Source organism: Homo sapiens, chromosome 7, assembly GCF_000001405.40.
Source record: "Homo sapiens chromosome 7, GRCh38.p14 Primary Assembly".
Taxonomy (NCBI): domain Eukaryota; kingdom Metazoa; phylum Chordata; class Mammalia; order Primates; family Hominidae; genus Homo; species Homo sapiens.
Window position 1 is genome coordinate 147,624,075 of NC_000007.14, and position 15,710 is coordinate 147,639,784.

General features: G+C 38.8%; 1 protein-coding gene across 2 annotated transcripts in view; it reads left to right on the top strand.

The window, feature by feature from the left end:
- The window catches only part of CNTNAP2 (contactin associated protein 2), a 2,304,198-nt gene that overhangs the window by 1,507,274 nt on the left and 781,214 nt on the right, over positions 1-15,710 (top strand). For both annotated transcript variants that reach the window (NM_014141.6, XM_017011950.3), the window contains exon 13: positions 15,032-15,232. In NM_014141.6, coding sequence (NP_054860.1) covers positions 15,032-15,232 — 201 coding nt within the window. The remainder of the gene's footprint in view (positions 1-15,031; positions 15,233-15,710) is intronic.

Genomic DNA, 15,710 nt, shown 5'->3' on the forward strand with positions numbered 1-15,710 from the left:
TAGACTTCTGTCTCTCAACATATACAAAAAGCAAATCAAAATAAAGACTTAAAGCAAAGACCTCAAAATATGAATCTACTACAAGAAAACACTGGGGAAACTCTCCAGGACATTGGTCTGGGCAAAAATTTCTTGAGTAATACCACACAAGCATAGGCAACCAAAGCAAAAATGGATAAATGTGATCAGCTCAAGTTAAAAAAAAAACTTCTGCACAGCAAACAATCAACAAAGTGAAGAGACACCCCACATAATGGGAGAAAATATTTGCAAACTACCCATCTGAGATGGTGTTAATAACCAGAATATTATATAAGGAGCTCAAAATAACTCTATAGGAAAATTTTAATAATATGTTTCAATAATTGGCCAAAGACTTAAATAGACATTTCTCAAAAGAAGACATACAAATGGCAAACAGACATGTGAAAAAGTGCTAGACATCATTGATCATCAGAAAATGCAAATCAAAACAACAATGAAATATCATCTCACCACAGTTAAAATGGCTTATATCCAAAAGACAGGCAGTAACAAATGCTGGTGAGGATATGGGGAACAGGAAATCCTCATACACTGTTGGTAGAAATGTAAATTAGTACAACCACTAAGAAGCATTCAGAACTTCCTTGAGAAGCTGAAAATAGAACTATCATATGATCCAGCAATCCTACTGATGGGTATATACACAAAAGAATGGAAATCAGTATACGGAAGAAATATCTTTACTCTCATGTTTATTGCAGTACTGTTCACAATAGCCAAGATTTGGAAGCAACCAAAGCATCCATCAACAGATGAGTGGATAAAGAAAATGTGGTACATATACACAATGGAGTACTATTCAGCCATAAAAAGAATGAGATACAGTCATTTGCAACAACATGGATGGAACTAGAGATCATTATGTTAAGTGAAATAAGCCAGGCACAGAAAGACAAACATCACATGTTCTCACTTATTTGGGGGATCCAAAAATCAAAACAATTGAACTCATGGACATAGGGTGGAAGGATGGTTTCCAGAGGCTGGGAAGGGTAGTGAGGGGTTGCAGGGGGAAGTGGGGATGGTTAATAAGTACAAAAAATAGAATAGTAAGACCTACTATTAGGTAGCACATCAGGGTTACCATAGTCAATAATAACTTAATTGTACATTTTAAAATAACTAAAAAGAGTCTAATTGGATTGTTTGTAACACAAAGCATAAATGCTTGAGTGGATGGATACCTCCTTCTCTGTGATGTGATCATTACACATTGCATGCCTGTATCAAAGTATCTCATGTACCCCATAAATATATATACCTATGATGTACCCACAAAAATTTAAAATTTAAAAATATTGTATGGTTCCAAAGGAGTTATTGCAATGTGTAATATACAAGTGTTACAAAATAATTTGTAAAATGCATCAACAGTAACTGTTCTATTTCATCAAAATAGAGTTTATATATTATTGTTTGCATGTGCTCACAATTACCAAAAAATTATTTTAAAATGTCAATTACCAAAGAAATTGTTTTAAAATGTCATGGCACTGGACTTGGTGGGCAAGATGGCAGATAGGAGATAGGGCTAATGTGCAGTTCTCACCTGGATGAACTGAACTGTGTGTGGAGACTCACACTGTGATCTGTTGCTCCAAGAACCAACAAAGGAACATACCAGGAAAACCTGAAGGATTCCCAGATCCTTTGAAAGAAGCAGCACACTACTACAAATTTCATGAAACAGGTGAAAAACTGAGCATTCCCAAAGTGTGAGAGAAGGAAAACCTGCCTCCAAACATACATTTCTACTGGGGGACCTGAAAATCCAGATCATGAGATTATGGAAGAAGGATTTAACCTCTCCTGGAGTTGAAATGGATTTAGGGAGTCACATGAAATATAAAAGTAGAAGTAGCAGCAGAAAATGCCTTGCAGGCAGTCCCAGTCTCCAGCTGAAGCCCAGGGAAGCCATCTCTGATGATATCTTATAGGGGCCCTTGGGGAAGGCAGCCAGAGGAATTGGGAAGTAGTCACAGTGCAAAGGAAACTCTGAACTGAAATTTGTAGTTGTTTCAACTGGGCACAAATCTTCTCAGGTGAAGTCCAGGAGACAAGCAGGAGTGGCTGCAGATTCGAGCACAGGAGCCGCAGCCAATGGAGTGGGCAGATGCAAAGGAGCAAGGGCCATGCTTGCTTTTTTAGTGGGGAAGTCTATGTCCTCAGGCAAGGTCTTATTGGGGCACTGTGGGAGTGAGACTGGCCTTGCCAATTGCATGGGGGGGTGGGTTAGGCCTCTCACTAATGGCTATTCCCCACTTCTCTGGTGAACTATATGACACAGCAGAGGCAGCCAAGATGTCTTTTGGCCTGAGAACCACCCTGCATCCCCACAGTGGCTATAGCAAGCCCCAGCCAAGGAGAGGCTGAGCTCAGACCTGCATAACCCTGCCCTGACCTGATAGGATTTCTTTACCCACCCTAGTAGCTGATTACAAAAGATAAACTCTTGGGAGCTTTATGGCCCTGCCCATCACCTGAGAAACTGAAATACTTACCCTGGCCAAGTTAGGGCAAGCTTAGATCCCTCCACTAATACTGCAGCTGTTGCTGTCTTGGAAACACCACCTTCTGGTTGGAGGCCAACCAACTCAGGCCATTACAGCAACTCATGGTAGAATAACCCTGATCCCAGGAAGGAGAAGACAACACCTAATTCCACTGCCTACAAGATACTGGCTAACCAGAGTTCCTGAGCGTGTCCCTGTGAAAACATCACTGCTAGCATAACCATCATTCAAGAAAGCCAGCACACTAAACATATCTACAACCATGGACTCTCACAGAGTCTACCTCACTTCGCTGCCACCTCTACCAGAGCAGGTGCTGGTATCCATGATTGAGAGACCTGAAGATGGATCACATCATAGGACTCTGTAGACATTCCCCAGCACCAGTCTAGAGCCTGGTAGCCCAGCTTGGTAACCAGACCCAAAAGAGCAATAACAATCTCTGCGTTCCAGCTCTCAGGAAGCCCCATCCCTAGGGTAAGGGGGGAAGCACCACATCAAGGGATCACCCTGTGGGACAAGAAAATCTGAACAGCAGATGTTGAGTTTCAGACCTCTCCACTGAAATAATCTACGCAAACGAGAAGGAACCAGAAAAGTAATTCTGGTAATGTAACAAAACAAGGTTCTATAGTATCCCCAAAAGATCATACCAGCTCCCCAGCAATGGATCCAAACCAAAAAGAAATCTCTGAATAGCCAGATAAAAAATTCAGAAGGTTGATTATTAAGGTACTCAGATACCAGAGAAAGGTGAAAACAAACTTAAAGATATTAAAACAAGGTGGGGCATGGTGGCTCACGCCTGAAATCCCAGCACTTTGGGAGGCTGAGGCAGGTGGATCATGAGGTCAGGAGTTCAAGACCAGCCTGGCCAACATAGTGAAACCCTGTCTCTACTAAAAATACAAAAAGTTTGGTGTGTGGTGGGCACCTGTAATCCCAGGTACTTGGGAGGCTGAGGCAGGAGAATGGCTTGAACCTGGGAGGCGGAGGTTGCAGTGAGCCGAGATTGTGCCATTGCACTCCAGCCTGGGGGACAGAGCGAGACTCTGTCTCAAAAAAAAAAAAAAAAAAAAAAAGATATTAAAACAAAATACAGGATATGGATGAAAAATTCTCCACATAAATAGATGTCATAAAGAAAAAACAATCACAACTTTTGGAAATGAAAGACACACTTACGGAAATACAAAAAGTGTAGTGTGGGAAGTTTCAACAATAGACTAGAACAAGTAAAAGAAAGAATTTTGGAGCTCAAAGACAAGGCTTTCAAATTAAGCCAATCAGACAAAGACAAGAAAAAAAAAAGAATAAAAAAGTGAACACAGCCTCCAAGAAATTTGGGATTATGTTAAATGGCAAACCTAAGTATAGTTGGTTTTCTGGAGGAAGAAGAGAAATTTAAAAGTTTGGAAAGCATATTTGAGGGAATACTTGAGGAAAACTTCCCTGGCCTTGCTAGAGATCAAGATACCCAAATACAAGAAGCTCAAAGAACACCTGGGAAATTCATTCCAAAAAGATCATCACCTAGCACATAGTCATTAGGTTATCTAAAGTTAAGACAAAGGAAAGAATCTTAAGAGCTGTGGGACAAAAGTATCAGATAACCTATAAAGGAAAACCTATCAGATTAATAGCAGAATTATCCATAGAAACCTTACAAGACAGAAAGAATTGGGGTGTCATCTTTAGCCTTCTGAAACAAAATAATTGTCAGCCCAGGATTTTGTATCCAGTAAAATGGAGCTTCATAAATGAAGGAGAGATAAAGTCTTTTTCAGACAAACAAATGCTGAGAAAATTTGCCACAACTAAGCCAGCGCTATAAGAAATGCTAAAAGGGGTTCTAAATCTTGAAACACACCAAAATAGAACCTCCTTAAAGCATAAATGTCACCAGGCCTATAAAACAATAACACAATTAAAACAAAACATAAGGTATTAAGGCAACAACTAGCATGATGAAGAAAACAGTACCTCACATCTCACTGCTAATGTTGAACGTAAATGGCCTAAATTCTCCAATTAAAAGATATAGAATGGCAGAATGGATAAAAATCCACCAACAAAATATCTGCTGTCTTCAAAAGACTCACCTAACACATAAGGACTCACATAAACTTAAGGTAAAGGGGTGGAAAAAGATATTCCATGCAAATGGAAACCAAAAGCAAGCAGCAGTAGCTATTCTTCTACCAGGAAAAAACAGACTTTAAAGCCAACAGCAGTTAAAAAAAAAAAAAAAAAAAGACAAAGAGGAACGTTATAAAATGATAAAAGAATTACTCCAACAGAAAAATATCACAATTCTAAATATATATGCACCTAACACTGGAGCTCCCAAATTTATAAGGGAATTATTACCAGACCTAAGATGTGAGATAGATGGCAACACAATAATAGTGGGGGGGCTTCAATACTCCTCTGACAGCACTAGATAGTTCATCAAGACGAGAAGTCAACAAAGAAATAACGGACATAGGCCGACCGCTGTGGTTCATGGCTGTAATCCCAGCACTTTGGGAGGCTGAGGTGGGTGGATCACCTGAGGTTAGGAGTTCAAGAACAGCCTGGCCAATATGGTAAAACCCTGTCTTTACTAAAAATGCAAAAAATTAGCCAAGCAACGTGATGGGTGCCTGTAATCCCAGCTACCTGGGAGGCTGAGGCAGGAGAATCACTTAAACCCCAGAGGCAGAGGTTGCAGTGAGTTGAGATTGCACCACTGCACTCCAGCCTGGGCAACAAGAGCAAAACTCTGTCTCAAAAATAATAATAATAATAATAATAATAATAATAATAATAATAATAGACATAAACTATACTCTAGAACAAATGGATTTAACAGATAGTTACAGAACGTTCTACTCAACAACTGCAGGATATACATTACTTTCTTCAACACACAGAACATTCTCCAAGATAGACCATATGATAGCTTACAAAACAAGTCTTGATAAACTTAAGAAAATAAAAAGTATATCAGGTATTCTCTCAGACCACAGTGGAAAAAAAGTGGAAATTAACTCCAAAAGGAACCCTCAAAACTATACAAATACTTGGAAATTAAATCACCTGTTCCTTAATGATCATTGAGTCAACAATGAAATAAAGATAAAATTTAAAAATTGAGCTGATTGATGATAGTGACACAACTTATCAAAACCTCTGGCATACAGCAAAAGTGGTGCTGAGAGGAAAATTCATAGCATTAAATGCCCTCATCAAAAAGTCTGAAAGAGCACAAATAAAAAAATCTAAGATTATACCTCAAGCAAATAGAAAAACAAGTACAAACAATATGCAAACCCAGCAGAAAAAAAGAAATAACAAAGATCAGAACAGAACTAAATGAAATACAAACAAAAAAATACAAAAGATAAATGAAAAAAAGTGGGTTCTTTGAAAAGATAAACATAATTGATAGACCATTAGCAAGAATAACCAAGAAAAAAAGAGAGAAGATCCAAATGTCAATTAGAAACAAAACAGGAAATATTACAACCAATACCACAGAAATACAAAAGATCATTCAAGGCTACTATGAACACATTTACAAACTAGAAATCTAATGTAGATGGATAAATTCCTGGAAATATACAACCTTCCTAGATTAAATCAGGAAGAAATAGAGATTCTAAACTGACCAATGACAAATAGCAAAATTGAAACAGTAGTAAAAAAAAAAAAAAAAAAAAAAAGCCAACAAAAAAGTCCAGAACCAGACGGATTCGCAGCTGAATTCTAACGGACATTCAAAGAAGAATCGACACCAATCTTACTGAAACTATTCCAAAAGACAGAGAAGGAGGGAATTCTCCCTAAATCATTCTGTGAAGTCAATATCACCCTAATACCAAAGCCAGGAAAGGACATAACAGAAAAGGAAAACTACAGACCAATACTGCTGATGAACATATATGCAAAAATCCTCAACAAAATACTAGCTAACCAAATTCAACAGCATATCAAAAAGATAATACACCATTATCAAGTGGGTTTCGTACCAGGGATGCAGGGATGATTTAACATACACAACCAAATAAATATGATGCATCACATAAAATAATTAACAACAGAAGTCATATGAGCATCCCAATAGATGCAGAAAAAGCATTTGACAAAGTCCAGCATCCCTTTACGAATAAAACCTTCTGCAAAATTGGCATAGAAGGGATGTACCTCAATGTAATAAAAACCATCTATGACAAACCCACAGCCAACATTATACTGAATGGGAAAAAGTTGAAAGCATTCATCCTGAGAACTGGAACAAGAGAAGGATGCCCACCCCCACCACCTCTATTTAACATAGTACTGGAACTCCTAGCTGTAGCAATCAGACAAGAGAAAGAAATAAAGGGCATCAGAATCTGTAAAGAGGAAATTAAAGTTGTGCTGTTCACAGATGATATGATCATATACCTAGAAAACCCTAAAGATTCATCCAAAAAGCTCCTAGATATGATAAATTAATTTAGTAAAGTTTCAGGATATAAAATCAATGTACACAATTCAGTAGCACTGCTATACACCAACAACAACCAAGCTGAGAAACAAATCAATAACTCAATCCCTTTTACAACAGCTTCACAAAGTAATAATAATAATAAAATACTTAGGACTATACCTAACCAAGGAGGTGAAAGATCTCTACAAAGTTAACTACAAAACACTGGTGAAAGAAATCATTAATGACACAAACAAATGGAAACACAACCCAATGCTCATGGATGGGTAGAATCAATACTGTGAAAATGACCATACTGCCAAAATCAATCTACAGATTGCAATTTCCATCAAAGTACCATCAATATTCTTCACAGAACTATAAAAAACAATCCTAAAGTTCATATGAAACCAAAAACAAGCCTGCATAGCCAAAGCAAGACAAAGCTAAAAGAACAAATCTGGAGGCATCACGTTACCCTAATTAAAACTATTCTACAAGGCTATAGAGACCAAAACAGGATGGTACTGGTGTAAAAATAGGCAAGTAGACCAATGGAACAAAATAGAGAATCCAGAAATATAGCCAAATATTTAAAGCCAACTGATCTTCAACAAAGCAAACAAAAACATTAAGTGGGGAAAGGATACCCTATTCAACAAATGGTGCTGGGATAATTGGCAAGTCACATGTAGAAGTATGAAGCTGCATCCTCATCGCTTAACTTATGTAAAAAATCAACTCAAGATTGATCAAAGACTTAAATGTAAGTCCTGAAACCGTAAACATTCTAGAAAATAACATCAGGAAAGTTCTTCTAGACATTGACATAGGCAAAAATTTCATGACAAAGCATCCGAAAGCAAATGCACCAAAAACAAAGATAAATAAATGGGACCTAATTAAACTAAAAGCTTCTGCACAGCAAAAGAAATAGTCAGCAGAGTAAACAGACAACCCACAGTGGGAGAAAATCTTTGCACACTATGTAGGTGACAAAGCACTAATATCCGGAATCCACAAGAAACTCAAACAAATCAGCAACAAAAAACCAATCCCATCAAAAAGTGGGAAAAGAGCATGAGTAGAGAATTCTCAAAAGAAGATGTACAAATGGACAACAAACATATGAAAACATGCCCAATGTCACTAATTATCAGGGAAAGGCAAATCAAAACCACAATGAGATACCACCTGATATGGTGGTTCGGTTGTGTCCCCACCCAAATCTCATCTTGAATTGTAGTTCCCATGATCCCCAACCCAGTGTTGCGGGAGGGACCAGGTAGAGATAATTGGATAATGGGGGTGGTTTCCCTAATCCTGTTGTGATAGTAAGTTAGTTCTCACGAGATCTGATGGTTTTATAAGGGGCTTTTCTGCCTTTGCGTTGCTCTCATTCTCTCTTGCTGCCCTGTAAAGAGGTGCCTTCCACCATGGCTGTTAAGTTTCCTGATGCCTCCTCAGCCATGTGAAACTAAGAGTCAATTAAAACTCTTTCCTTTATAAATTACCCAGTCTCAGGTATTTCTTCATAGCAATGTGAGAACAGACTAATACAGTAAATTGGTACTGGGTAGTGGGGTGCTGCTGTAAAGATATCCAAAAATATGGAAGCAACTTTGGAACTGGGTAACAGGAAGAGACTGGAACAGTTTGGAGGGCTCAGAATAAGACAAGAAAATGTGGGAAAGTTTGGAGACTTGTTGAATGGTTTTGACCAAAATGCTGATAGTGATATGGACAATGAAGTCTAGTCTGAGGTGGTCTCATATGAAGATGAGGAACTTATTGGGAACTGGAGTAAAAGTGACTCTTGCTATGCAAAGAGACTGGTGGCATTTTGTCCCTGCCTCATTCAAGAGGAAGCAGAGCATAAAAGTTTGGAAAATTTGCAGCCTGACAATGAGGTAGAAAAGAAAACTCCGTTTTCTGGTGAGAAATTCAAACAGGCTGCAGAAATTTGCACAAGCAGCCCATCCCATCACAGGCCCAGAGGCCTAGGAGGGAAAAATCTTTTGTGTGTTAGGCCCTTGGGACATGGTGCCCAGCATCCCAACTGCTTCAGCGCCAGCCTTGGCTAAAAGGGGTCAAGGAACAGCTCAAGCCATTGCTTCAGAGGATGCAAGCCCCAATCCATGGTGACTTTCACATGATGTTGGGCCTGTGGGTACACAGAAGTCAAAAACCAAGGTTGGAGAACCTCCACCTAGATTTCAGAGGATGTATGGAAATGCCTGGATGTCTAAACAGAAGTTTGCTTTGCTACAGGGGTCAAGCTCTCATAGAGATCCTCTGCTAGGGCAGTGCAGACGAGATATGTGGGGTTGGAGCCCCCACACAAGACTTTGGACTTGAGCCTTTGGGTTAATGCTGGAATAAGCTAAGACTTTGAAGACCATTGGAAAGGCATGATTGTGTTTTGAATTGTGAGGTCATGAGATTTGGGAGGGGCCAGGAGAAGAATGGTATGCCTTGGCTATGTCCCCACCCAAATCTCATCCTGAATTATAGGTCCCATAATCCTATGCGAGGACCAGATGGAGTTAATTGAATCATGGAGGCAGTTTCCCCACATCTTGTTGTTGTGATAATAAGTTAGTTCTCATAAGGTCTGATGGTTTTATAGGGAGCTTTTCCTCCTTTGCTCAACTCTCATTCTCTCTCCCGCCACCCTGTGAAGAGGTGCCTTCTGCCATGATTGTAAGTTTCCTGAGGCCTCCCCAGCAATGTGGAAATGTGAGTCAATTAAACTTCTTTCCTTCATAAATTACCCAGTCTTAGGTATTTATTCATAGCAACATGAGCATGGACTAATACATTACCTTATTCCTGCAAGAATGGCCATAATTAAAAAATCAAAAAATAACAGGTGGCATGGATGTGGTGAAAAGGGAACACTTCTACACTGCTGGTGGGAATATAAGCTAGTACAAGCACTATGGAAAACAGTATGGAGATTCCCTAAAGAACTAAAGGTAGAGCTACCATTTGATCCAGCAATCCCACTACTGGGTATCTACCCAGAGGAAAAGAAGTCATTATATGAAAAAGATACTTGCACACACATTTTTACAGCAACAGTATTTGCAATTGCAACAATATGGAACCAGCCTAAAAGTCCATCAACCAATGAGTGGATAAAGAGAATGTGGTATATATACACCATGGAATACTACTCGTCATAAAAAGAATGAAATAATGGCATTGGCAGCAACCTGGATGGAGTTGGAGACTATTATTCTAAGTAAAATAACTCAGCAATGGAAAACCAAATATTGTATGTTCTCACTTGTAAGTGGGAGCTAATCTATGAAGACATAAAAGCATAACAATGATATAATGGACTTTGGGGACTTGGCGGGGAAGGGATGGGGTGAGGGATAAAAGACTACGTATTGGGTACAGTGTACACTGCTCAGGTGATGGGTGCACCAAAATCTCAGAAATCACCACTAAAGAACTTTATGTAACCAAAAACCACCTGTACCCCCCAAAATACTGAAATGAAATAAAAATTTAAACATTGTGCTTTCTCAGAAAAAAAATGACAAGACGCTGTAAAAATTTTTAATTATTTTATAAAATAGATACATACGTGCATGTGTATTTCTTTTCAAATCTTTCCAAAATATAATTTTATTGAAGAATAGTATATCAATAAATAAGTTACAGCATGCTACTTTTCTGCTCAAAATCCTCCAATGCCAACAGTTGCTTGTTTTCCTTTGACTACAAGCCAGATCTCTTACTATGACACAGCAGACTGCTGGTCATGCTCGTCCCATGCCCAACCATTTCTAACTCCCGCTTCTTCCTATTCTTCCTTCTGTCACTCAGTGGACTCTTTGTATACCTGAATGATGCCGGGAAAATTCCAGAATTAGAACATTTGCATTTGTATTTCTTCTGTCTGGAATATTTTCCCCAGGCATTCACATGGCTTGCTGGATAACTACCTTACACATTCAAATGTTATTTTCTCAGTGAAGCCTTTTGCAGCTTTTGCTGTATTTGAAAAGGCAATCCCCATTCACAGGGTCTATACTTCCCTTCCTTGATGTAGCTTTTCTCCCAGCCATTATCACTGGCAAACTATATATATATATATATGTTTAATTTTAATTATTTTGCTTACGATCTGTTTTTCCGCCACTAGAATGGAAGAATATAAGCTCCAAAACTTTTTTTTTTTAATCGAATTTTTAAAACTAACTTTGAGACAGGGTCTTGCTGTGTTGCCCAGGCTGATCTTGAATTCGTGGGTTCAAGTGATCCTCCTATCTCGGCTTCCCAAAGTGCTGGGATTACAGGCATGAGCCACCACACCCTGCCCAAGCTCCAAAAATGTATAAATGCTTATTGCACTGTGGTTTCCTTAGATACATTCCCTAGATCTGTATCTGTCATATCGTAAGCACTCAATAATATTTGTTGAATGCATGGGTGTGTTACAAAACAAACATATAACAGATAATGCATAGGGGTTTGATAGAGAAATGTTTGTGGTGAGAGGGGCAGAAGTAGAGTTTAGGGCTGAGAAGTCACTAGGAACAAATCAGTAGAGACTCTTCAATCTCAGCAAATAGGTAATATTTTTAAAGTTAATGAAGTTGTGTAAGATAGAGACTGTAAATGGGTGACCATTTGGTTTTATTTGCTTAAATTAATGCTTGCCTTTATGACCATTATATTGAAAAGACGTTTATGACCCTTTAAAGAAGACATCAGGTTTGAAGGCTATTCCATCATGAGTCAAAGAAAGATTTGGAGTACTACTGCAGGACAAGGCTCTTGATAGAGATTTGTGAGAAAAAAAATAAAAAATGGAAGCAGTGTCAGACACTAGAAAGTTTTATGCCAGAGGCTGACTGTAACAGAAAAGATCAAAACCAATCTAATTTAATTAATGTATCTTTAATTAGGTGAAGGTAAATCTGCAGGTCTGGACACAAATGACAAACAGTTTATCATCAGAATCATGTCAGAAAGTGACAGAATTACTAAAATATGATGTGGCTTCTTTGCTTATCAGAAGAACTAAAGGAAGGCAGTTACAAAGAGGCTAAAGGTAAAACTGGAATATATTTATTCTACAGAAAATATATTACCATGGGGGACACTGTAACTGAACTTTTCTGATTGATTCAAGAAGAGCAAACTGGAAAGTGCTCTAGCAGAGAGGGATGTTGTTATAGATGAAAGGGGTTTAGAGCCTAGAAGATGAAGTCACTTGTCTAGAGTCTCACAGGATAGTCCTGACCAAGCCAGAACTGGGACCAAAATGACTTTAAACTGTTCCTAGATTGAGTAGCTTGGATCTATTTAACTTTTACTTTTTTATTTTTTTATTTTCCTTTAAGTTCTTGGATACATGTGCAGAACGTGCAGGTTTGTTACATAGATATACATGTGCCATGGTGGTTTGCCGCACCTATCAACCTGTCATCTAGGTTCTAAGCCCTGCATGCATCAGGTATTTGTCCTAATGCTCTCCCTCCCATTTACCCTGCACCCCCCAACAAGCCCTGGTGTGTGATATTCTCCTTTCTGTGTCCATGTGTTCTCATTTTTCAACTCCCACTCATGAGTGAGAACATTAACTTTCGTTAATTCCTCTTTCTACTCAACTAATATTTCTGAAGCCCTACTATGTGCCAATTATTGTGCAATCTCTGCTTTCTTAACTTTTAATGTGGGGGGACAGACTTTAAAAAAATAAAATGTGTGCAAGTAAAGGGGAGATGAATGCTAGGGAGAAAATTAAAGCAGGAAGAGGAGGCAGAGAGCAGCTGTAGAATAGGAAAGGAAAGGCTGGCACTGGAAGAGAAGAAGGAGTGGGTCCTGAGGGTGCCGAGGAAAGACAAAGGAAGCAGCAGGTGCAGAGGCACTAAGGAGGGACCCTGCTGATGTGTTTGAGGAATGAAAGGTCCATATGGCTGGTGCCAAAGGAGCAAGGAGGGAGGATTGACATGTGAGGGCATAGAGGCGGGGAGGAGCCAGGTCACGGAGGGACTTCAGCTGTTTTAAGGACTTGACTTCTACTGGAACAAGACCCGCTGCCATTGAAGGCTTTGAGCAGAGTATCAGAATCTCACTTATATTTGAAAAACCTCACCCTGACTCCCGTGTTGAGTGTAGATGTGAGGAGGCAAGGGTGGAAAGCAGCAGACTGGTTAGGAATCAGGATGGCTTTAACCCTAGTAGTGGTGGTGGGTTGGCAGGAGGCGTGTTCAAATTTTGGAAATACACTGAAGGTAGAGCAGAGAGGATTCATGGGCAGGCTTGATGATGAATGCAGAAGAAAGAGAGGCATTAATGGTGACTCCTGGGTTTTGTCTTGAGCACCTGAAAGAATGGAGTTGCCATGTACCAAAATAAGACCAAATGAGGAGGAAGTTCAATAAGTCTCTTTTAATCTACAGCACGCTCTCTCTTGCGCTCTGTCTCTCTCTCACCACTTCTTTCCTCTCTACCCACTTCCTTTGCAATTTATCAGTTGATAAAACTATATTGGTCTATAGAGTTTCCCACGGGCAGGGATTTCATGGAGTATTTCCCTGTGTGCTATTTAATATGTTCCTCTCTCCCTTATAAATTCTGGAAATCCAGAATTTAGGTCTATAGACTTGGTCAAATTCATGCTTGATTTTTATCAATAGTACATTACGTGTAACATTGATTGTGTATTTTCATCCAAAGGTGCATCATGTGTGGTTTCACTTGTGGTTATATTAGCAGCCATTGATAATCATTGCTTAGATCCTACTAAATTTGTCAGAAGTTAGGAAATCATGATACTCTAATCCCACCATTTAGTCTTCTTTTATGAGCTGAAATATCTCCATAAAGACAATATTTGGTTTCATTAAGGTTCCTATAACAAAGAAAGGCCAAAGGCTTGATTCTTCTCTTTATTCGCCAATATTCAAAATAATGAGTTGGTTACCTAGCATCTTCCAAAATTAAACATTTTTAACAATTTTAATAAAATTAAGGATTTAAATATATTTGATATGCCTCAATCCATTGCAGAATATTCTTGTTGATGTTCAGATTGGCCCATCTTTGGCCCTGGGTGTTTTTGAACTGCCCTCAGTCTCTAATTGCTTCTTTTTTTCTACTGGGATATGTTCCTGGCTCATCTTTCATCTTGCACATTTCCAGCCGTAGAAGCCATCATTTCTCCAGGGATCCTAGTTTTATCTTAGAGGAAATGGTATTTAGTGATCACAGTCTGGTGCACGAGGTCAGTCCTTGTGTAGGAGCTTTTTCAGTGCACAGAGGCAAGACATATGCCACATTTAAAATTAGATAACATTATCTTAGGTTCTTAGAGATGCTTCTAACTAAAATTTAAAAGTATATGGAGCTTTTATTTAACCTTATCTATTTTATATCTGCTTCTTTTCTCGCAGTGAAATTTTCAGGGTCAAAATCACCAAGATAATTAGTCACTTGCTTTATTCCACATGTACAGAACATTTCAATAGCAGAGAATGCAATGTCTAATTTTGCCTAAAAGGTCAGTGTGAAGAGAACATTTGTTGACAAGATGAGGATACATATTCTGATGAGAGCAAACACCATGTAGGAAGACTCAGAGGCTTGAAAGAGAGCATAGTTCATTTAGGAAAGAGAAAATCCTGTTCCACCAGAGGAATGATGGATGACAAAGTCAGCAAGAAGTTGGGACATAATGAGCCTGATATTCAATGCTGCAGATGTTAGAGCACCAACAAGATACAAAAGCTTTTTTTTTTTTTCTTTTTTTGCCTTGCTTTCAGGAGGTATCTTGCATTTGTTTTCAATAAAAATATTACTTTCCTACTTTGTCCTCATAAGCAGAACTTAGGGATGAGCAAAGAGCAGGGGGTTTTAAGGATTGCTCTCCTTAACACTGTTCTACACCAGCTCAGTAAAAAGACCATTTAAGTGTGGCTCAATTATTTTCTGACATTTGGAGAAGCATTTGCATACTAATGATCCAGGGTCCTGGTTGTTTTTCTCCCCACAGAGGACAAAGTGTGGACCATAGTGTCTCATGACTTGCAGATGCAGACGCCTGTGGTCGGCTACAACCCAGAAAAATACTCAGTGACACAGCTCGTTTACAGCGCCTCCATGGACCAGATAAGTGCCATCACTGACAGTGCCGAGTACTGCGAGCAGTATGTCTCCTATTTCTGCAAGATGTCAAGATTGTTGAACACCCCAGGTAGGCTGAGAATGGAATGTTACTTTTAATCACTATCTCAGCTGGTGCTTAGAATTGCCTAAAGAATCCAACAGGTGTGGTTCATTATCTTATAGTCTAGTCTTCAGTAGGAAGGAAGCTGTAAATAAGTAAAATAAAATCATTGGGCTTGTTTTCTGGGGAATGAAGCTAAGAAAGAATGATTTTGAGGAAAAAATAGTCCATTGTTTTAAACTTACGGATTTTTAAATTGTATGTGCATATATGTTTCTAGTGCTTAACTGTCAGTAGTGGCTGTGGGACAAAGTTTATCAGAGCTCCTTGTGAACATTCAAGCAATTCCCTTTGAGAGCTTCAGGTGTCTTTATTGTAAAGATGAAAGCATTCTAAAAATTGTCTACAGCCAAATAGGATATAGAATAGCGATAGAATTTAGAGCTCTTTCTTCCCAGTAGTTGCTTCACAGTACCTGTTTGTCTCAAGAAGTCTAGCCTGATTT